This window comes from Homo sapiens, chromosome 3 (assembly GCF_000001405.40).
Source record: "Homo sapiens chromosome 3, GRCh38.p14 Primary Assembly".
NCBI classification, from domain to species: Eukaryota; Metazoa; Chordata; class Mammalia; order Primates; family Hominidae; genus Homo; species Homo sapiens.
The window spans coordinates 10,764,939-10,789,197 of NC_000003.12; the positions used below are offsets into that span (position 1 = coordinate 10,764,939).

The 24,259-nt window shown below is 45.9% G+C and overlaps 2 annotated features.

The window, feature by feature from the left end:
• Positions 7,036-7,537: an enhancer, noted in NCBI's record as "H3K4me1 hESC enhancer chr3:10813659-10814160 (GRCh37/hg19 assembly coordinates)". NCBI's record gives its function as "activates a minimal SCP1, AML or CMV promoter by ChIP-STARR-seq in primed H9 embryonic stem cells {active_cell/tissue: H9 hESC(primed)}" and the evidence as "EXISTENCE:reporter gene assay evidence [ECO:0000049][PMID:30033119]".
• Positions 7,538-8,037: an enhancer, noted in NCBI's record as "H3K4me1 hESC enhancer chr3:10814161-10814660 (GRCh37/hg19 assembly coordinates)". NCBI's record gives its function as "activates a minimal SCP1, AML or CMV promoter by ChIP-STARR-seq in primed H9 embryonic stem cells {active_cell/tissue: H9 hESC(primed)}" and the evidence as "EXISTENCE:reporter gene assay evidence [ECO:0000049][PMID:30033119]".

A 24,259-nucleotide genomic window follows, 5' to 3' on the forward strand; every position in this document is an offset into this window, starting at 1 on the left:
GCCTCATCACAGCACCTCAGCAGGCTCAGGACAAGGACACTAAGCCCGGCTGCCCCCTCGAGTGTTGGAGTTATCTTCTCTAACCACAATGACAAGGAGTGGCCTTATTTAGCACTGGGCCTGTGCTGGGCTCTCCACCGAGGGCATTGCATGGGTGAACCATTGGAGAGGTTCTCCCATTTGTGAGCTCGGCTCAGACGTCTATAGGGGAGGACAGAAAGGTCACAGGAAGGACGGATGCTGCTCTGGGGTTGGAGCAGAAGGCACTCCGCCCCACCTAGCAAATCCCCAGCAACGCAGCTTTGGCAGCTGTTATCCTGTAGAAACGTGGGTCCAGCCCTGTCTGATCTTCTGATTGTCTTTCAAGGGAGTTGAACATTTCTATTTTGATGTGAAATTTCCCAATTTGTAAAAATGTAAAACGAAGCAATATATCGTGGCTGAAAGCCCTCAGAGTCCAAGTTTTGTTATCTGTAAGGGAGGTGTCAGAAACAGGTGGCCTAGGGACTAGATGCGGCCAGCAAATAGGTTTTATCTGGTCCCCAGATAATTTTACAATAATTTATTATGGAGTCTATGTCATGCATTCCAAAGAGGAATATAAAATGTACATGAAAGGCATAAAGAATCATGAAATACATATCCCTGAACCCACCTCCCAGCTGAGAAAATAGACCAACCCCAAGACTGCCCCTGCCAGCCCCTCCCCCCGCACCCCAGAGAGGTAACCACTGTGCTGAATTTTGTGTCTACTCTCCCCATGCTTTATATGTAGTTTTATATGTAGTTTTGTATCAGTTAGTGCATTCAAGGCCACACAACACAGCTCTCGCTGACTCCCATCTTTTGGGTCCTTCCAGCAGCAGAGCCTGAGACAAGGGTATGAGGGCAGGAGATTCCAGAAAACACCAGCTGGGCAGTGGGAAGTGAGACAAGGATAGGAAGGAGGCCCATGAAAGGTGTATTATCAAGTGGTCCCTGAGTGGCAACTGGAGCTCAGTACTGCTGGGGGCATCTGGGAGACTGGGTAGAGCATGCACCTCAAAGCTATCCTGCCTAATGGACCAGGGAGCTGGGGTATTTATACCCCACTCCCATCAGTCACTGGTTCAGGGCTGCTCCCAGGAAGAGCTAATTCTCCAGCATTTCTGGCCTGCTATTTGGAAGGGCAGAGTGGCTCTAGGGCCAGAGAGAGACCTCAGGAAAGGGATGCAGGGCAGGCAGTGGTAGTCAGGCAGATGTGCACTGAAGGGGTCAGGTGAGGGGCTAGACCAGGACACCACAGTGTCTGCTACACTACTTGAGCTGGCTTTGAATCCAGCGGCTGGGCTTCCTACACTATGAAGTCATTTGCCTGCTCAAATTCACCCACCAGAGGTGCTTTCTATCCCACACCTACTGAACAAAAATTGTGTATGGGGGGACGTCTAGGCAGTCATGTTTTCTACACAGTCTCACAGCATCTGGATACTCACTGAGGTCACGAGCCACTGGCCCAGGAGATAAAGTGCATATGCTCAGCCTGTCGTTCAAATCTGCTACCACACTCTGCTCCCACCCTTCCCTTCCCATCCCTGTCCTGCTCCCTAGGCCACAGTCCCCTCAACCTGCTGGATTGTCTCTCAGAGGAACAGCCAGCCTCAGGAAATGCAACACTTTCAGGGAAGTTCATGTGCACAAATTGCAGACTGGTGGGATTTAAGAAATGGCCCAAATTAAGGGTTTCTGAATTACTCCACTTATCTCTTCTTGGCCTTAAGATTGCTTTTTATAAATTGAGATGATGGAAATGTTTCTTTCTTCCCCTGAGAGGCATAAAGGGAACCAATTCCATTTCATAATCCAAAACATAAGCCTTAATTTTCCATTTCCTCTGCAGCCACAGTAAAGCTGCTAATCCTTAAACCTGTGCTGATGGTCCCCATGTTGGACGTCAAAGGAATCTATAAGCTTACCCTGCTTCCCTGTGGTTTATCTGAATTGAACCCTGTACAACAGACATGGGAAGCAAAAGTCTTGAGATTGTTAGGGGCTCCTTTAAGACAAGGGATGTATTTGCACTCTGTTGTGCAACATTTAGTGAGCAACTACTATGTGCCTGACACTGCACTGAATCAGGGAGACACAGAGGTGAGTAAGTCCCAACCCCTACCTACAGATGGAGCAGCTGATTACTTTCTTACTATACGGTGAGTGGCGAGGTACAAGACGCAGGAGTATGACCCTGATGGTGGTGCTCTGGCCCCATGAGTTACCACGTGATGCAGCAGTCAAGACTTCTCTTTGTCCTACCCAGGGATGACTCAAGATTGAACCTATGTGGAATACAGCTGAGGCAGTTTCTACATTAGCCTCTTCCTCACTCTTTGCAGGTTCAGTTCTAAAGACCACTGGCCCATCTGGACTGTCCTGGACATTCTGTCTGCAGCCTGTCTATTCAGCAGGTGCAAGAAACTGCTACCAATCCACCCCAGCCTCTTCTTGAATGTTGACTGCTAGATCAACCCTGTGGACAGCCAATTCCCAGATGGACCATCCCCATAGAAGTGGTTCCCAAACCTGGCTGCCCACTGGAATCATGAGGAGGATGTGGAGAGCTTTTAGAAAATGCCCATGCTTGTTCTGCCCACAGAGATGGTAAGGATATTGGTCTGGGGTGAATCTTGGCCATCAGGATGGCCTTAAAAGTTCTGCAGCTGATTCTAACGTACAGCTAAAATGACAAACACTGACCTAGAAGGACAAGGCCGTGGCCCCGTGGACTATCTCCTTCTTTAAAATGGACAATTCACTAGGTATTAAAGGCTCTGAGACCCTGTAGTAAAGACTCCTGTTTAACTCAGTGTTTCCCAAACTTATTTAACCATGGAACCCTTTCCTCTCTGAACAGCTATTGACATCGGAAAAATAGCATTCTGCAGAACACACACTAGGGCATGCTGGGGAAGGAGCACCCACGGAGTCAGGGGTATGTGGAATAAAGAGGTTTCAGACAAGCAATCCTTTAAGGTGAGAAGGTCCCGGGAGTACTAGAAACAAAAGCTCTATAGAGGCAGAACTCATTCTGACCTTTGCCCATCATGAAGATTGTATTGTTGATCAAAATATGATGCTCTCTCCATATGCTGACCACTGGCTTGGCCATGTGACTTGCTCTGGCCAATGAAATACAATAATAATGACATTTATCCCTTCCGGGTTGAAGCTTTAAAAGCTGTTGCCTGGCACCATTGAGTTCTCTGGTTTCCTTTCATCATGAGACCTCAACATCCCTGATAGGGGCTGCTCCCTTAACTAAGGTCCCAGGGTAAAGGAGACACAGAACAGAGTACAGCCAATCCCCCATGGACAAGTAACTTCAGCAAGAAAGAAATCTTTGTAGTTGCAAGCCACTGATATTTGGGGGCTCACTTGTTACCACAGTATAGCATAGCTTTCACTGACCGATGCACTCATGGAAATGGTGCTGGTAACATGCTTGTTCTTGCCATAAAGCACTAACATTTAGGCTGAGCATTCAGACCATCTCTATCATTTGAATCTTTCCTCTTGAGCATGTATTCCATTAAAAAAGGAAAATGTGTTTCAAGTTTTACCCTCATAGTGACCCTTGTAGATGAAATCTCTCTTCTGCTCAGGCTGGCAGGGTCAATTGGAAGCTCTAAGTGCATTCTTTGCTCAAATAAGACAACAAAATGCCTTTCCTGGAGGAGATGCCTAACCCTTAAAAAGTATTCTTTCAGAGCTTAGATGTGCAGAAGGGAACGCTTTGGGGGACATGACTTTAAGACCAGTGAATGTTATTTTTGGTATCTGCCCAATACACACAGGCTCTGGGTCACCCACCTGGAGGGGAAATGGCTCAGTCAAAATGTCAAGGCAATAACTTCCACAAGACCTTTTGGTTTCCTGCTCTGGGGACAATTAGGCAACAGAGAGTAATGTATATCCAGCTCTAGAAGAGATGTCCAGGAACAGCATGGAGCTCGGCCTCCCGCTGGTTCACCGAAGTCAGCTGGATTCCCTAAATCTGACCCCTGCTGAAAAACATCTCCCTCACTCAGCCTATCTACCGTGGTGCCTGTGATCCCACATTGCTGCCTTATCCCTTGAAGTTTCCCGTAAAGCTCTGTGACGGCGTTTTGCCCAATGGAGGCCAAAAGTGAGCTGCTGACTTGTGAATAGGAATGTGTGATTGGCATAAGGTTTGAGGATCAAAAGCGTGGTATTATGGGATGCAAGTGAGCCAGAGGCAGCAGCACATGCTGTTCCTTCTGGGCCCAGGCAGGGATGAGGCTAAGACGAAAATCAGCCCAACACCACAGACCTGGTCAGGGCTCAGCAACAGGCAAACTGGGATTCAGCGGGTACACACTAGGACACCTGAGCCTGCAGCTGAAATATGGAAATACTTCCCCCATGTTGTAAATAGCTGCTGTCATTGAGGATTAAAGCTTTAGTGGGGGAGTCCCAGGTGCAGTGACAGGCAGTAGGAGGGTGCCAGCTACTCCTTGAGGTCCCACTCCCACCCTCCTTACACTCCCATCCATGCAGAAACCAAAAGACATGGAGCTACCTGGTTGCCATACACCTTAAAAGTGATTTGTTTTTTTGCCAGCTGAGAGCAAGGCCCATGGAAACAGAACCTAGCTGGTAGGTTACCAAAAAGTGAAAAAGAGGCACGGGGGAGGTAGAGGCAAGAAGAGCCCAGAGACAAAATTCTCCAGCTTCTTTATGTGCTGCAGAGCCACAATGCACTCTGAAGAAGAAGGCAGCATCAAGCTGCTATTGAGAGCTAGAGAGGAATCTCTTGAATGATTGTATTCAATGGGTTTCCATTGGGACCAGAACTCCTGAAGTCTTCAGGATGAACTGTCTGAGTAAGAGGTAGGGAGTCTTCATAAAGGACCTAAATACCTAAACAGTGTCCATCATAAATAAAGAGCTCCTGCAAATCAATAAAAAGACAGATATCCCAATAGACATCTAGGTAAAAGATTCGAACAGGTACTTCACAAAATGGCCAATAAGTATATGTAAGGAGGTTCAACCTCATTACCAATCAGGGAAAGGCAAATTAAAACCACTAACATAACATCAAAGTAAAGAAGCCAGACAGCAAACAAACACTACATGCTGTAGGACTTATTCATATACAGTTAAAGAGCAGACTGGTAGAACTCAGGATAGTGGTTATGGTTGCTGTGGGCGGGGGCCTCATGACTTGGGGGGGACTTTGGGTCAACAGAGACTCTAAGATGCTGGTGCTAGAAGCTTTTTGACCTGGGCGCAAGTTTCATGGATGTCTAATGATTAGTTCGTGAAACCTACTGAGCTATCACTTAGGATTGTGCATTTTCCTATATGTCTGTTAAATTTCAGTAAAGATCGGTGTGGAGAATCTCTCAAGAAGATAATTCTATATTCATTCTCTCAATTTTCACACATCTGGGGGCAGAAAAAGTACTGAGAGAAAGATCTTTCCTGAAAAATATTTACCTGACTACATTTCCACCCCTTTCCTCAACAGTGAGAGAACAGCCATGTCTGCTAGCTAACACGTGCTGTTTGTAAAATGTGTTTGGTGTGCAGAATCTCCACGTGGACAAGCCAGAGGGCTCCCTCTGAGAATTGTTTGTGTGTCCCCTTCTAGGGGACAATTGTCTATCCAGCACCTATGCATGCTGGGAACTTCCGCCTGCGTCATCCCAAATCAGGCTCCCAGGAAGCTGTGACGGAGACTGGGTGAAGGAGAGTTGGCAGCCTGCACTTTACAGCTAAGGAAGCGGAGACTCAGAGAGGGATGGCAGCACTCACGAGACACCCAGCCACTTGCCAGGCTGGGAGGCGAGCCCCCGGGCATCTGGCTGCATGTCCGGCCTTCCTCTTTCGGGTCACAGCTGTCCGTTCTCATGGGAGCAATGTTCTGAAAGTTGAAAGCAATGGAAAATCCAAACCAAGCACCATCGTTTATTAATTGTACACAATTTCCCTTCCATCCATCTATTTCCTTTTAATTCAGGCAAGCATACATCCACATGCTGCCCTAGCAGCCTGCACCCAGGCCTGGGGACTGGGTGCCCCAGGGGCCCCAGGGTTCTGGGGGTGGGTCATGGGGAAAGGCTGACTGGGTCCATGTTTGGGCAGTTCGAGGATGGCTGTGACTTTTTCCTGGAGAGCAGGGACCTGATATCTGTTAAGGGGCCTGACACAGCCTTCAAGACAAACTTACAGATGCTGACACTAAGCCCTGACACTAACTAGAGGGAGGAACTTCTGTCCTACTGCAGAAAGTGGGGAGGGGTTTTCTGACCCTGAGTGACGGAGGGACAGATGCCTGGGATCAGGCGTCAACTCCAGCCTCCCAGAGGTAGGGATGTTCAAGTCTATCTGCATTCAGGTTGGTGAAGCTCTTCCTTTTTCCCTCTCACCTCCTCCAGGTTCCTGGAGAGCCCACACCTCTCTCTTCTCCTGTCCTCAAGGAAAGGCCCAACCACCCTGATGTGTGACCTTGGCCAAGACCTCCTCTCACTCCCAGCTTCAGTCTTCTTATCCAGAAAACAGGAAATCTGGACTCTTCAATGTCACAGTCCCTTTCGGCTTTCATATTCAGGAGTTTTCAGGCTTTGTTAAAAGCAAAATGCCCAGGCCCATCCCCTGTAGATTCAGGATGTGGTGCAGGCTCAGGCCAGGTTTGGGACTTCTGCAGGTTTCAACATCATCCCTGAGGAGTTGTCTGATGCCTATTAAAGTGCACCCTCTATGACAGTGTGTACCGAACATGGCTGAGTCAGTCTCTTGAGAATTCTTGCTGGAAATCAGCATTTTTAAACACCTCCCAGAAGATTCCAATGAGTACAGGTATGAAAAATGCTGGCCTCCAGAGAAGGCAATTTCTGCTGGCCCAAGCTCCCCCATTTGGGACCCAAGTCTAGCTGCCTAACTGTGCCTCAGTTTCCTTATGTATAATGTGGAAATCATGGCTTCCTTTAGCCTCTAACAGGCAGGCAGGAGACACAGCAGATTCCTGGAGCAGTGTGGCAGGGTGCCCGATCCTGGACCCCCACCGGGGAGAATTCCAGCCTCTGTATCTCCCCGACTGGGCAGGGTCGGGCTGGGGAGGGAGGGAAGCAAGCCCAGCCCCACCTCATAAATCATATGCCAGGAAATGCAGGGCAGGCGCCCCTGCCTCCATATATCCCACACATTAGATGCTTCACTGGTGTCCCACAAGCGAGCTTTGTGAAGCCAGGCTCAGGGAAGAGGGGTGGGCAGTTACCAGAAATGAAACCTCAGCCAGCTCACTCCGGGGTCGTCTGGCCCCACAAGTCTCCTAGTGCAGGGGCTGGAAGCACGGCTGTTATTATTTTTTTTCTTTTGGAGGGGAAGCATTTGGCCCCAGGTTTGAGGGCACACAAAAGGCCCTCAAAAAGGAGGCAGAAATCTATTACCCGCCTGGCCAGAAATAGCCCTGGGGGAGGCTGGGCTGAAGCCAAGGCCAGAAGCTGTCCAGGGGACCTCGCAGAGGCCTCTGCCAGGGGAGCAGGGGACAGCTCGCTGACTCCCCCGTGGGGCTGTCAGCTGCAGGGAAGGGCTGTGAGGGATGTTTCAGCCTCAGAAAATCTTGGGTTTCATTTCAGGCTCCCCAACAGGAGGGGTTCCTGTTGAGGAGTGACTCAGGGCATCTGGAAGCCGTGACTGGTCAGGGTTCAGGTGGGCGGGCTGTGTCCTGAACTGAGGGCACTCAGGTGAGGCTGGAACCCCAGGGTTGCACCCACCAGAGAGGGCGCCCTTGTGTCATTCATCTGCCCAGAGTGAGAGCCTCAGCCCCATTTAGACAAAGACTCCAACAGGCATCAGGAGACCCTGAACAGATTTCCCCACTTTGCCTGGCCCAGGGGAATGTCGAAGAAAGGAATATGCCTGTGCACGGTGGCTGAGCAGGGGTCTGCCGACCAGTAAGGGCACTGAGATAGAGACGGAGGGGAGCTGATGTTAGTTAGGCACCAGCAGATGGGGCAGTGGAGCATCAGGCAACAGGATAAGCTGCAAGGACACCCATGTCAGCGCCTCGAGGAGGAGACGCTCCTGGGGTATGCATTTGCTCAGCCTAATTAACAGTGACTGTGCCCATTTGGGGAACACTCACTCTGTGCCGGACACTGTATTAAATGCTATTTAACACTGCATTTGGGAAACAGTTCAACTTAGTGGTTAAGAACACAGATTTATTGTCAGATCTAGTACTTCCTAGCTGTGTGATCTTGGGTATATAATTTCACATCTCTGTGCTTGAGTTTCCCCAGCTATAAAATATGGATAATGTCGTTGCTTTGAGGATTAAGTGAGACAGACCATGCATGTGAAGAACAGAGTCTGGCACACAGTAAGTGCTCATTACATGTAGCTGCTATCTGTATGATCCCTTTAGCTCTTCACAACATGGAGATATGATTATATATTGGCTAGGCTAATGCCAGCTGCTATAACAAATAAACCTCCACAATTCAGTAGCTTAATGAATATTTTTTGCTCAAATAATACAATGCTGGTGCTTCTGGTTAACAGGCAGCTCTCCTCCATGTGGTGATTCAGGGACCCAGGCTTAGAACTCTGGAGTCCCCTGAATGTGGGAGGAAGCTGGGAGAGATGGTGAAGAAGATAAGTTGGCATCTCAACCACACTGGTCTGGAAGTGATAGGCCTCCCTTCCACTCATTTTGTTGGTGACAACTAAATGATAAATAGCAGTCGGTTCAGTGTAAGGAATGCCCAGAAATGTAGTCCCTGCCCAGGCAGCCCCCATCTCATTTTGTGCTATGGAAGAGGGGGGACGAACCATGGGGGACAGTTAGCCATCTCCGCCACGTATCATTTAAGTGTTAAGATGCTGAATCTCAGAGAAATTAACTCACCCAAGGCAGAGCAGCTTGCAAATGGCAGTGCTGAGATAGGAGCACACAGCGGTCTGCCTCCTACTGTTGATATCTTTCCACCAAACACAACTGCCTCAGCCCAGGGCATTTCATCTCTTTCTGCCTGTCTGAGGTCAGGTTCTTCAACCGATAGGAGGGGAAGAGTGAGGACCTGATTCTCAGGTTGCATCTGTACCAGTCTCATGGCCCAAACAGATTCAAGGGCCTTAGTTGATGCTGGGAATGGCTGCCACTGGGACAGATGGAGAGAAGAGTGGGACCCAGATGATGGGCTGTATTTAAGACCTCAGTGGGCAAGACTCCAGCTGGGAGTCAGGCCTCAGTCCTGAAGGTGGCCTGAGATGCAAGTTGGAAAGGAAGTGTAGGGAGAGAGGGAAGCCCAGCTCCTGGGGCTGAACCATGTGGCTGATCAGCAAGGGAGAGTCCTTGGGGGCGCTTATCCCTGAGCTGGGGGCAGCCGCGAGATTCTGGGAATGATGTGTGCAGCTGTCCTGGTTTGGTGCTCTCTGAAATACACTTGAGACAAGCGGTCAAGCATGAACAGTTTATTTGGCAGTCGACCCTAGGAAATACCAGTTGACTAGGGCTGGGGAGAAGGAGGCAGGGGCAAGAAGGCTGTTATGGAGCACGTGACCCTGTGGGTAGGTGGAGCTTAGTCTTGTTGTGGACCTCTGAAAGACACCGTAGAACATCCCTCAAAGCCATCCCAGCAGGGGCTTTACCCACCAGTTCTCCATAGTAAACCCGCCAGCATGTAGAGGGAAAGTGGGGGGTCAGCAGCACCTGCCCACTGGGTGTTACTTTCCTGGGGCTCAGAATTGCCAGGCATGGCTGGATATTGATGCCAAGGCTGCTGGCATATTTCCTGGGTTGGCTTAGAGATTGGGGTGCATGTTCAGGCAGTGAATGGCCGGGTATGACCCATGAATGGGAAAGAAGGGAAGTAAGTGTATCCTCCTGAGGCAGGAACGAAGGCAGGGGGAGGATGACCCAGGAGCCACAGCCATGCTTCCAGGGACTCCCCACCAGCAGAACGTGTCCATTTTCTCTCCCTCCCCTCTCTGTACTTACTAAGTGTACATCCAGGCTGCCTCACTCGAGAGCACACAGCAATTCTCCATGCTGCACATCAGGGCGGTCGAGCAGGTACCCATGCGAGCAGGGAAGCCGGGTGGCTGGGGGCTCCTTCTGAAGTAAGCAGGGCCCCCCATGTGGCCAGGCCAGATCCATAGAGAAGGCCCTTTAAATCACACCTTTGAGGTATTTTCTCTCCTGTTTCAAAAGTTTCCGTGGAAGATTCAGGAATGAATGCCCTATTAAATACATTTTAAGGTAATGAAGTATAATTTCCCTGCCAGAAATACAGGAGGCAGGTGGCTGGTGGGAACAGCAGCACCTTTCAGCCAATTCTTGGGCTCCCAGATTTGTGTCCAGAGAGAGGTGGAGAGTTTGGAGGGGTGAGGAAGGATACTGGGCATGGGTCGGTGACTTTGTCCTACTAGAACAACACAGGGATACTCAGAAGTGCCTGGTGAGTGTAGGGTAAGTGTTCCGTGGACAGGAGATGCGGGCTCACACCAGCAGTCAGTACCGAAGCCCCTTGGCCTGGCTGTAGAGGGCTGAGTGGGGAAGAACGTCCCGATTGGGGTTGAAGGTTCAATGTTCAAGTTGGAGAAAGCCTGAGCTTTGCACCAGACACTATTGGGGTTGAATCCTTGGCTCATTACTCACACGTTCCGTTCCCTGACCTTGACCAAGGAACCTCACTTCTTGAGCAGCAACTTCCTTATCTGTAAAATAGGAACTATGGTTGTTGAATCTACCTTCTAGGGTAGAGGGGGATTAAATGGGAGAAGCCATAGAAAGCACCTGACGCAGAGTAGGCACTTGAGTGTCGTTGATTAAGGAAGACGGACGGTTGTGGTGTAATAAAACGAATAGAAACTCACGAGGTGCCTACTATGCACAGACACTCCCGAATGTGCTCCAGGCATTTGCTCATTTACTTAAGCAAGAAGCTGGGATCAGACAGAAGTGGAGAATGCACAGACTAAGCTGGCAATAGGCAGGGTCCCATGGATGGTCAGCCAGGGACAGTGGGAACACCGCTCCTGGGGTTGGCTGCGGCAGGCATCCATAGAGAGGGTGCCTGATGTTCTGGGTGTGGCAGGAGAATGCAGGCTGCAATGACACTTGAAGTCCAGCAAGCAGCAGATGTGACCTAATTGGGATGCCAGGTCTGTGGCCTGCCTGCCACCACTCTGAAGCCTATGTCTCTGGCTGACATAACAAACCCATTGCAGAATGTTCCCCCTGGGAATCTCTCTGTCCTTCTCAATGAGAGTTGCCAAGTGAAGTTATATCAACCTGCCGCCTTTGTGCTTACAGATGAACCCACAGAAAAAGAGGGTGGGTGTGAGAAACAGAGCCCTTCACCTGATATTGGGGTGCTGCTCTTGGACCCCAGCCTTAAAACAACTTCCCCCTCTCCCCATAACATACACAACCCTGTGGGACAGGATTGACTCAGGAAAGGATCGGGAGCTGAGTCTCCAAGTTCAAGAGCTCCAGGACTGCAGCTGAGCAAAGGCTGGGGCTGGCAGAGGCCACTGACAGCCCCTGGCTCAGCCAGTGCCTCAGTTCCCCATCTGGAAAACGCAGGGCACATGTAGGCTCTCCAATGGCCTCCACATTCCTAAAACCCAGCCAGCTAAGAATGTCTCCAGAGAAGATATTTGTGGCAAGGAGCCCACACTTGGGTCTTGCCCCCAGGAACTCCCCCTGGGAAAAGTTGAGGGTACAGAACTAAGATTGGAAACCTCCACAAGTCTGACAGGAACCCAGCTCCATCAGGCATATTGTGGCATTTCTCAGAGTCTCTCCTGTTCTCCAGCTTCCTCCAAGTGTGAATTGTTCATTTTATGTTTTCCCTGATTCCATCACTCAATTAACCCCATAGCAGGTGCCACCTCCTCCATGCCACCTTTAGCACAGCACAGGAATTACTAGAAACTTCTGTCCTGCGAGGACCGGCATTCCTTCTATTTCATGTTCTGCTCCATCCGGGACACTACCCTCCCCTGCCAGTTTCTCCTGCTCACCACTCATTTCCATGTGTGTCTCTTGTATTTCTTTGCTGTCACTCATCTGAGCTTTCTCAGCTCAGAGTTGTAAATTGTGACTTAAAATTCTTCTTCAACCTGTTTCATATGCATTTTGACTGATGACATATATGTTGATGCCTTTTTTTTTTTTTTTTTTGAGATGGAGTCTCGTTCTTTCGCCCAGGCTGGAGTGCAGTGGTGCAATCTCGGCTCACTGCAAGCTCCGCCTCCTGGGTTCATGCCATTCTCCTGCCTCAGCCTCCCGAGTAGCTGGGACTACAGGCGCCCGCCACCGTGCCCGGCTAATTTTTTGTATTTTTAGTAGAGACAGGGTTTCACCGTGTTAGCCAGGATGGTCTCAATCTCCTGACCTCGTGATCCGCCCACCTCGGCCTCCCAAAGTGCTGGGATTACAGGCGTGAGCCACAGCGCCCGGCCTGTTGATGCCTTCTTAGAGACTGATCATGAGTCAGACTAAGCATGTGCATGGATCTTAGGAAAGGATAAAGGAATTGTGCAGATCACATGCTGAGTGTAGATCACAATGCTGAAGCCATTATTGAGATTGTTTTCAGTGTCTGAAACCCTTTTCAACGCCTCTGGCTTTCTGTTCCCCACAGGTGCTCCTTTCCCCTTAATCTTGTTCATTACCTGCCCAGAATGATCTCTGCCTCTTCCTACCACCTGGAATCAGATCCAGGAGCTGGTGAGTGAGCTCGGGCATAGTGGGAGGCCCCAGAGCCACAAGGGGTGTGAAAGGCAGGTTGCAGCCAGGACAGATGGGGAGGTTATAGGCCAAGGTCAAAGAACCAGGAATGTTAGCTGAGGTTGCAGGGTGATGGTGACAGGTAATCAGTTGCTAAGGCAAAGCTGGGCTGGGCATTGAGAACCAAGAAAACTACATCTTGGGGTAAGGTCTGAAAGCAAAGTCTCCAGGGCCAAAGTCCTCACTGTGCATCTCTCTATACAGCCCAGTGTCACCAGGCAACTTCCCCAGGTGTTTTTGAGAACATACCCCATTCCCAATAGCACCATTCATACGGCAAGTAGGTGTATCACCCTGCACTGCTCATCACTGTTGCATTTGTGGACACCTCATCTTGTGAGTGAGACTGTAAGACTTGGTGAGGGGATACAGGGTCTCTGTCTTCTTTTTAAGGCCCCAGGTGCTCAGCACAGAGGATAGTGGAAGTAGCAGTGATGTAACTCTGGCTGGCCTGGGTTTGGATAACAGGTCTGCTGCTTATGGCTGTGACTTGGGGCAAGTCACCAAACCTCTCTGCATTATTCAGCTCAGGGATGAATAAGGTGCACTGGAAAGGGCTGTTTTGAGGATTGAATGAGATTATATAGAAATCACAGGGTCCCTGGATACACACAGTAACTGTCCATTGTCCGTTCTTCCTTATCAATCAGTATATGTCTACTGATTGCTTTTCTTGAATGAATGATTTATTTATTTGCAAATGTCAGGGCACTAAAGCATAGGAAATGTTCTCATCCTTCAAGCCCCTTCTATTTTGGGGTGAAAAGGAGATTCAGGGAGCAGGAGTTGAATGGCTGCAGCAAGTGTGGTGAATGAGAGATGCCATGACTTCCCAATTCCCACGATCATCTTGCCTTCTGTGTTAGTTTGCTGGGGCTGCCGTAACAAAACACCATCAATCAGGTGTGGGCTTAAGCAATAGACATTCATTTTCTCTGGCTTCTGGAGGCTGGAGGTCCAAGGTCAAGGTGCTGGCAGGGCTGGTTTCCTCTGAGGCTTCTGTCCTGGGCTCCTTCTATACATGGCCATTCCCCAGTATGGGCACCCCTGGTATCTCCTTCTGTTCCAGAGGGACACCAGTCAGATTGGATTAGGACCCACTCTAAGGGCCTCCTTTTAACATAATCACCTCTTTGAAGACCCTCTCTCCAAATCCAGTCCTATTCTGAGGTACTGGTGGTTAGGGCTTCAACATGAAATTTGCAGGGGATGCAATTCAGCCCACAGCACCTTCCCCTCTTGCTAACTACGCCACTGCACAGGGCTTCGTGCCCTCCTGTGAGCTCAGTTCCTCGAGAGTCCCAGCACCCCTGAGCTCTAGCCGCAGGGATCACCTTTTCCAGGCCCTGCTGACCCGGGCTGGCAGCAGGCCTACCTCATGTACAGCTCACTTATGCAGGCTCTGTTCTCTCTCCTGGGGGTCTCCTGGGCCACTCACTCCCCAACCCAGAGGGCCTCCCAGGAACTGCAGCCACCTTCTCAGCAACACAGGAGGCAGGCATCAGGAAATTGCCTGGCATGGAGCTCTCCTCCGCTCTCAGACCCCTGCATTCCCCAGTCCAAGGTCCTGCTCCTGGGAGTGGAAGGAGGCAAATCTCAGCCCCTCCCTCCCACTCCCCATGGCTAGGGTGGGGTATGGCTCATGGATCCCAAACTCCTCCTGCAGGGGCACCTGAACTGGAGTCCAAGCTCAACCTCTGGTGCCTTGTGCTGGGGAGGTGTTCGATACAAGAGAGTCTTTCTAAAGACAAAGTAGGTGGTAACACTCCCCCATGCAGCCTTCAGTGACTGTGGCCCAAGGACCCACCTGGGGTGACACGAGGCTCTGCACCCTGGGGCCGACCTTCTTGCAGGCACATCTGCTGCCACACCCCAGCAAACAAGCCGTCCACGTGTCCTTCTCTTCTGTTTGCTCAAGCAGTCACCTCTCCCTGGATGCCCGTGGCCCTTCTTCCACCTGGCCAGCCCCTGCCAGCCCTGCCCTGTTCTCTGCTCCCCTAGTATGGGGGACAGGGCTTCGGGAACTGACCTCTGTTTCCACCCCAATACCATCACGCTGCAGCTGGGTGGTCTCAGCCACACCAGCAAACATACCAGGCATGCTATTTTTTTTAAAAAATCCCATTTTCAGAATACTGAGGTTAATTCAGACTCACATTCACCATCCTCCCTGTTTCTTACCCATCTTCACAGCCAGCACAATGAAACGCCTGGGATACCTGGCAAACCTTATCATCAAAGACAGATTCAGTGATATCCCCTGGACTCATGGGTGGCCTAAGGCCCTGACTGCCGCTCTGTGGCTGGAAAAAGGGGACACCCTGGGTGTGGGGAGCCTGAGGCCCTTGAGTCTTTGGTGAGTGCTCTGTATGACCCAGCGAGTGAGGTCACCCTCTCTCTCTCTCCCCATCCTCCTTCCTCTCTCACTTGAAAGCACTCTTTGGTGCTCACTCAACACGGTCCCTGTTGGTCATCTCACCCACTTCCTCGGCCTCACTATGCACCCAGGCCCCAATGACATCCAGATATATTTCCCTCTCTGGCCTCTCCCACACACTCCAACCCACACAGCCAAGAGCTGCCTGGACACACCCACCTGGATGCCCTCTGGGCAACACCACTTCATGTGTTCAACATCAAAGTCATCGTTTCCTCTGATGGCCAGTCAGCTCTTTCTCCTGGGCTCCACAGCTCAGGAATGCAGCCTGTATCTGGTCAAACAGGCCAGGGCTTGAGCACTTCATGAAGCTCTTCCTTCACTCACTGTGTCTGGCCAAACCTACCTGGCTTGCGGAGTGGTTCTGTCATCCAGCCCTCCTCGTCCTCCAAGGTCCCTCCCTGATGTAGGCCACCCGCATCTGTCTTGAGGATGAAAGCAACAGCCCTTTTCCTCATCACGTCACAGTCTTCCACTTCACTGTCATCCTGTGATTCTTCCAGAACATAAATATCTGCCCCAGTCATTCTCCTGCTTATGCGAGTGCAAGCTGCGCTTCATGAGAACTGGGACCTCGTTTATTATTTTTGGGGGTCATGGTCCTGGGGAGAGACAATGGCACACACACCAAGCTGAGAAACTGAGGAAAGTTTGGTAAAGGGACCACTTACAAGGATGTGGGCAGAGTTTAAAGAGAACAGCAAAGATGGTGCGACACCCAGGATGAGTAACGGTGGAGATCCATTGCCAACCCAGCCTGGAGGGTCCCGAGAGGCAGCGGTTTCCTTGACCCAGAGAGAGTTGTCTGGAGAGGGCAGCCTGCCAGCAGCAGTGGCCAGGGGATTCAGTCACCGCTGGCCCACAGGGGAGGGGAATGGGGTGATAAATAGCCCATCACTCTCTCCCTTCGCCCTCTGATCTCTTGCTAGTGCATCTAATTTGCCACCTCTAACCAGCAGCCAGAGGGCGGGGGGCGGGGTGCTGATGTGGTTAGCCTCCCAGGTCAGAGGAGGGTGCCCAGAGAACCTGAGGAACCAGTGGAAGATTCCAGCTCACCACTATCTCTCTGGCACCCAGGGACCAACCAAGCAATGAATCAATAAAGGTTTCCAAATGCACGTGAGGATGATGCCAGACTTCTTGGCCTGGCATTTAAAGTCCTTCATGAATCTTACCCTTTCACATGTCCTACACCCAACTTCCTGCTAGGTAGGTACTGCTCCGTCTCTAAGGCACAGCTCAAGTGGCATCTCTTCTGGGAAGCCCTTCCTCACTCCCATGAAAAGTCAGCCATTTTGCTCCTACAGACCTAACTCACCCCTCACCTTTCCAATAATATGTATTGCTTTCTATTCAGATCTCTTCGCAGGTCTCTCTTTCCCAGACATGATGAGCACCATCATATTTATCTCTCTGTCCCCAGCATCTGGCACAGAGTAGGTGCTTAATAAAACATTAGTAAGTTAATTTAAAATGTCAGGATATAATTGACATATGATCATTCCTAATGCCTACAATGGAGGCAGTGACTTTTTCTGTGCAGTCAAAGATGCTTCAGGGTTTTTTTTTCACCTTATGATTTAAAAAAAATGATTGTGATATCTTACAGATTTGAGACAGAAAGTTGATTTAATTTTTTTAGTGTATAATAAAAGGCCCAAAGTAAAAGATCAAAAGGTGCTTCCACTCAGACCCAAGCAAAGCCAAAACCAATGAAGCTGGCACAGAGGGAAAGCTCCCCCATTGACCCTGAGGTGTGCCAGCTTGCAATTCCTGCTTAGCCTTTCAAGCATCATAAACTAATGGAATTGAAAGCCACTATTTGGAAGCAGAGTTTACAGACCACTTACCAATGGAGAGGCATTTTGTGGACACAGGCTATGAAGCCTGTTTTCATTTTGATGTTTTTAAAATCTAATTTCCATGCAAATAGGAAAGGATGTGTTTAAGAGTGTCGACTTTGGGATTTGTTTGACTGTCAAATGGCATGACTAATATTTGGGGACTGGAAAGTGTCCAAGGACACTTAAGGAAATCCAGTATTACAAAGGGAGCCAAATATGTTGTGATTAGAGCATTCACTGTCCCAAGAAAATAAATGAGCTGGCTCAGAAGACAAGCCACTTTGCACTGCCCATTGGCTTCTGAGCAATTCTGTTCCCAAGAATCTGCGATCATGGAAGAAGACCCATTGTTGCAACATTGGTTAAAAACTCATTTATTCAAGTGTTTTTAAAATGAAATTTTAAATATCCAGAGGGGAAAAAAGTTGCCAAAGTTTAGGCCTGAGGGGAAGCGCTGTACTAGTAGAGTTTTAACAGGTAGTTTGTTTTTGCATTGTTTGCAGTGAATAACACTGATAGCCTGAAATTTAAAAGCAGTAGTAAGAAGGGAAGTAAGAATTTAGTTGTCTGGGGTCACTCTCCTGATTAAAAAGGAAAAGAGTCATGCAAAACTAGTAGGAGGAAATTGGGTATGTTTAAAGAATATTTTAAGAAATCTTTTTAGGAGCCAGGCATGGTGGCTTATGCCCGTAAGCCTAACACTTTGGGAGGCCAAGTTGGGAGAATCGTTGAGCCCAGAAGTTCAAGACTAGCCTGGTCAACAGGGTGAGACCACATCTCTACAATAAATTAAAACACAAAAAATTTAGCCAGGCATGGTGGTTCACACCTGTAGCAAGAGGATCACTTAAGCCTAGGAGTAGGAGGCTATAGTGAGCTATGATCACGCCAGCTATGATCACGCCACTGTACTCCAGCCTGGGTGACAGAGTGAGACCGTGTCTCAAAAAAAAGTCTTAGAGTATGGCATACAAGAATTCAGCTTTGCCCTTCAGGTAGAAAAAAAATTATTATATTTGAATAGTACGGGGTAGAGCTGGGGGGCGCGGTGGGCAGAAATGAGGCAAGAGAGGTAGTTAGCATAGAAAATTCTCAAGTTGAAATAGTTTGAAAAGGGTAATTACCTCCTTTTATCTGAAAAGAGAAAATGAATAGTTAAAGGCTTTTTAAAGAAATAACTTGAAATCCTCACAGAGAGAAATAAGAAGTTGAGCAGGGGACCCAGGAGGCCCAGAAAGCCACTGTTTCTTCCTAATGTCACACCAAGGACCAACTCTACATATGCAACATTAGAAACCAGCTGAAGTTTAATACAAGAGGCTATCCAAATTGGATTTGTAATTTCTCTATTTTATTCTAAATCTGATATCAAGACTTTATAGTTTTAGAGTAGTTGAATAATATTTGCCATTGTTCTGATAAAGAGTTGGACCTTTCTAAGAAAAAACAGACACACACACATGCACACACATACCATTTGATCTTAGTTACACACACTGGGTCTATTGCCCCAGATCTTCACGAATCACTGCCTCCCCTAGTGGTCATTTACATAATTGCAGACTTGTGTCGTTTGCCCATTGGCAAAGGCCCCCGGGGAAATTTACTCTCAGTGAATTTGATTTTACAAAAATCCCTGGTTTCTTCTTTGTTCCAGGGCACCACTGACACAGAGGCATGAGTACCAGGGGCTCTGAAGGTTCAAACTGTGATTCCTTATCACATGCCTAGAAACTTCCATTTTGAAGTGGAGCCTCTGGTTCTGGAAAGACATTTGCCTCTTTCTTTATCTAGATTTAAATTTAATTTGCAATTTCTTTCTTCTTTCTTGATTTCTTGGTGCATAGCACGAGAAGTACAGCTATGTAGCCCTTCTCTGTCCCAAGCATAAGTCCCCTTAAAGGGCCAAAGAGCTATTGGTCCTTCCTTCCCAGACAGGAAAGGCTGGTTGAACCCAAAAGGTCTGTGGCTTGACATCTATTGATGTGAATATTGGTTTAATTATTACTCCTGCTCACAAATCTCTCAGAGTGCATTTTTGTCCCCATTTCAGTCTGGTGTCCTGGCAACCACCTCCAGGGTTCTACTCTCTAACAGGAAATGCAGTAGGGATGGAGGGTGGCAGAAGTGTTTCTTAATCACTTCCTCCAGTGTTGGGGAACTCAGTTTTCTGACTCATGCACTATTTTAACAGCTTCCAGGAAATCCTTAGCCTGAGTATTTGGGGTGATTGGAGGAAGTGATTTCTAGAAACATTGGAGGAAACATTGAGGAAAGAAGAGTGGATGTGAGGGAGGGGAACGTGGAGAGAGTGGGGAGAAGGAGGAAAGGAGAGAGGAAGGGAGAGAAGGAAGGGATGATGGGGAGGGAGAGAAAACACGGAGAGAGAAAGGAAAACAAGGAGAAACCACAGCAGGGAAAGGGAGGATTGTGGCCACCAGGCGAGAAGTCACCTGCAGGCCCTAATACCTCAGTAGTGACCCAGGACCAATGAGTGGGTAAAATTGCTGCCCTGACATTTGCCCTGTTCCAGCCAAAGATGGCTCACTCCGTGACCCTGAGAACTTAGGACAGTCCCTGCTTCCTAAATGAGAGGGTTGCGCAGGCTGCTGGGCAGAGTGCCCTCTGTTAGGAGGTGAGTTTAGCTGAGGGACTCATGGCTTGGCCTGCACTTGTTTCTGAACCTGACCTTGCTAGCATCACCCTCAGATCCTAGAGAATTATTTTCTGACATGCACTATTTTAACAGCACCCAGGAAATTCTTGGCCTGAGTATTTGGGGTGATTGGCGGAAGTGATTTCTAGACTGGTTCTTTACCAACCAAAAGGTCAACTCTCCTGATCACTCCTGGTAGTGTGAACATGTACAACAGTTTTCCTTGGAAGTTGAGAGACTTCTAGCAACCTATATTTTCCATTCTATCTTAGCACAGAAGATAGGCTTAGCAAAGGAATGCCTCAGGCACTCTAAAATATATCCCCACCCTGCTGGAAACCAACAACAACCTTTAAGCATACGCTTAACAACAAGTGAAATGTTGTCACACACTCCTGTAATATTTTCCCCCAAAATGTTGAGATGACTTTTCTGGACTTGCCTATTGGCCACAGTTGTGTGTTGATAAGCTAGAGCAAGCTCTCTGGTTCAGGAAACTTAACAGGGAGCTGATGTTCATGCTATCATGCTGAAAGGGGCATGTTATGCCATCATCCCTTGAAAAACACAACTTGCTGAAACAAAAACAGAAATAGTGAATCTGAGCAGTCCTATATTCTTTTTCTTTTTTTATTTTAAAGACAACTCTTCCTACACTTTAGAAAATGCCAATCTTACATTGTCTTTTCCAGAAAACAAAGAGGGAACATTTCCTGCCTTTTTATTTTGAGACAAGCATACACCTGATACCCAAAACTGACAAAGATATTACCAGCAAAGACCATTATAGGCCAATATTTATCTTGAATACAGATGCAAAATCAGAAACAAAATATTAGCAAATTTATATACAGTGATATATATAAAAGGATAACAGCATAACTGAGTGAGGTTTAATTTAAAAATGCAAGAGCGACTTAACATTCAAATATCAATGTATTTTACCATACTAACAGAAAAAAATCTCAAGAGATTTAGAAAAAAAAGCCCTTGAGAAAATTAACACCTATTCATGATAAAAATCTCTCAGCATTAGGAATAGAAAGGAACTTCTTTAAACAGATAATGCATGTGTACAAGATATCCACACCTAACATGATGAAATGTTGCATTTAATAATGAAATATTGTACTTTTTCCCCTGTGGTTGGGAATAATGTAAGGATGTTCATAACCTTGCTCCCAACCTCAGGGCCAAAGCAAATAATTAGAATAAATAAGTGAAATTTTCAAGGTCACTAGATACAAAATCAATACAAAAAATTAATAAATGTAAAATAATTTAAATTATGTAAATCACATTCTTAAATCACAATGGAATTAAATTATAAATCAATATGGAAAGAATATGGAAAATTCCAAAATATTAAAATACTAAGCAACAAAGTTCTAATTAAGCTATGGGTCAAAGGAGAAATTACAAGGAAAATTAGAAAATATTTTGAACTGAATGAAAATAAAAACACAACATATCAAAATGTGTGAGTTGCAGCTAAAACAGTGCTTAAATAAAATTTTATACTAATAAATTTATACTAATGTGCTAATTTTATAATAAGTATAACATTTATACTTAAAAAAGAAGACAGGTTCTATGACCTAGCTTCTAGCTTAATAACCTAGAATAAGAACATAAATGCAAATAAAAAATAAACAGAAAAAAGATAAAGTTAAAAAGATCAACGAAATAGAAAACAGAAAAATAATAAATAATAAAGGCAATCAAAATCCCTTTTTAAGATCAACAAAAGTGATGAACCTCAAGCCAGATTAATCAAAAAAATTAAAGAAGAGAAGAGATAAATTAATACAGAAATGAGAGAGGGGACATCACTACAGATCCTATTGATAGTAAAGTTATTAGAGGAATATTATATACAATCATATACCAATACATTTAACAACTTAGATCAAGTGGAAAATTTCTTGAAAGACACAAATTACCAAAGCTTACTGAAGAATAAATTTATATCCTAAATAGCCCTGTGCCTATTAAATAACTTGAATTTGTAGTTAAAATCCTTCCCACAAAGAAAACTCCAGACCCAGATGGCTTTACTGGTAAATTCTATGAGGCATTTAAGAAAGATAATACCAATTCTATACAAACTCTTCCAGAAAATTGAATAGAAAGGATCACTTCCCAAAAAATTACATGAGGTCAGCATTAACTCAACAGCAAAATTGAAGACATTACAAGAAGAAAAAGAAGGAGGAGGAAGAGGAGAAAAACTACAGATTAGTATCTTTCATAAACATCCTTATAAAAGTATAAAATTTTAATAAATCATAACTATAATATATAAAAAGATTATGACCAAGTAAAGTTTATTCCAAGAATGTAAGGTTGGTTTTACAACTAAAAATAAATTAATTCACCATACTTAAAGACTAAAAGAGACCAAAAAAGAGTGCAAGCATATAATCATCTCAATAGATGCAAAAAATAAGAAATTAAAAAATTGACATAATTCAACAACCATTTATGACAGAAACTATGAATAGAAAGAAACTTCTTCAACTTGATAAAGATGATCTATAAAAACCTAGCTAACATCATCATACTTAGTGGCGAAAGACTAATTTCCCCACTAAGATCAGAACAGGGGCAAGGATGTGCAGTCCCTCTATTTCTATTCCACTTTATACTGGAAGTTCTAGCCAGTACAAAAAGGCAATAAAAAGAAACGTACAGTTTGAAAAGGAAGAAGTACAACTCTACTTATTTGCATGCCAACATTCTATCTTTGTAGAAAATCCTTAGGACTATACAAAAAAATACTAGAACTAATCAATGAGTTTAAAAAGATTACAGGATACAAAGCTAACATACAACAATTAATTATACTTTTATATACCAGCAAGAAACAATTTGGAATTGAAATTTTTTTTAAAAAACTTAACAATAACATCAAAAAATATGAAATACTTTGTGATAGATTTGAAAAAACTGATACACAAGTCGTGTACATCAAAAACTACAAAACACTGCTGAGACAAATTAAGTAGATGGAGAAATACATGATATTCATGAACTGGAAAACAAAATATTGTTAAGATGCCAATTCTTCCCAAATTGTTCTAAAGATATAATCTATCCCAGTCAAAACCCAAGAAGGATTTTTTTGGAGAAATTTGACAAATTTATTATAAAAGTCATATGGAAATCAGAGGACCTAGAATACCCAAAGTAATTTTGAAAAAGAATAAAGTTGGATGACTTAGCCTATCTGATTTCAAGACTTATTATGACTCACACTGTAATCGAGGCAGTGTGGTATTGGCAAAAGATACAACTTCAATGGAACAGAAGAGAAAAATCCAAAAATAGACCCTCAGATGTATGGTCAATTGATTTTCAATGAAGGTGCTAAGGAAGTTCAATGGGGGAAAGGATATCTTTTCAACATATAGTCCTTGAACAATTGAATATTCAAAAGCAAAAATTGAACCCATGTTCTTACCATATTACTCTATGTATAGGCATTAACTCAAAATGGATAATAGACTTATATGTAAAAGCTAAAACTATAAATCACTAGAAGAAACGGTGAAAGAAAACCTTAGTGACCTTGGATTTGGCAAAGATTTATTTAAAAGGACATAGAAGGCACACACTATAAAGGGGAAAAAATAGGCTAATTGGACTCTTTCAAAATTTAAAACTGTTGCTCCTCAATGGATACTATTAGAAAAATGAAAAGGCATGCTACAGACTGGGAGAAAATATTAGCAAAATATACATCCAACAAAGGACTTGCATCTACAACCCAATTAGAGATAGCCAAGAGGTTTGAATTGACACTTCACCAAAGATATTCTAGTAGCAAATAAGTGTATGAAAAGGTGCTCAACATCATTAGTCATTGGGGAAATGCAATTTCATACCACCATGAGATAGATATCACTATGCAGCCAATAGAATGACTAAAATTAAGACTGACCACTCCAAATGTTAGCAAGGATATGAGGCAACTGGAAATTTCACTCTGCTAGTGAGAGTGCAAAACGACATAGTCACTCTGGAAAAGAGATTGCAGTTTCTTAAACTGTTAAACATACCTCTATGACCCTAGTCATCTCATTCCTAGGTATTTTTACCCAAGACAAGAGAAATGAAAGTAAATATCCACTGTAAGTCTTATGCATGAATGTTCATAGCTGCTTTATTTTTAACAGCCCCAGTGTGGAAATAGTTAAAATGTTCATCAGCACATGAATGGATAAGTGAATTGTGTTATATCTGAACACTCAGCAACAACTATTGATACATGAAGCAACATAAGGGATAGGAGTGTGGACAGCAAAGTGGCACAAGGAAACCTCTGGGGATGATGCACGTCTGCATTATCTTGATTGTGTGACGTTTCATAGTGTGTTATGTTCCTCGAAATTCCCCAGCTGTATACTTCAGTCATGTGCAGTTCTTTTGTACCTTAATTATACATTAATTAAGCTGTAAAAATTAATTGTATTCTATTTTACAGCTTAATTATACCTTAAGCTGTAAAAATTAAT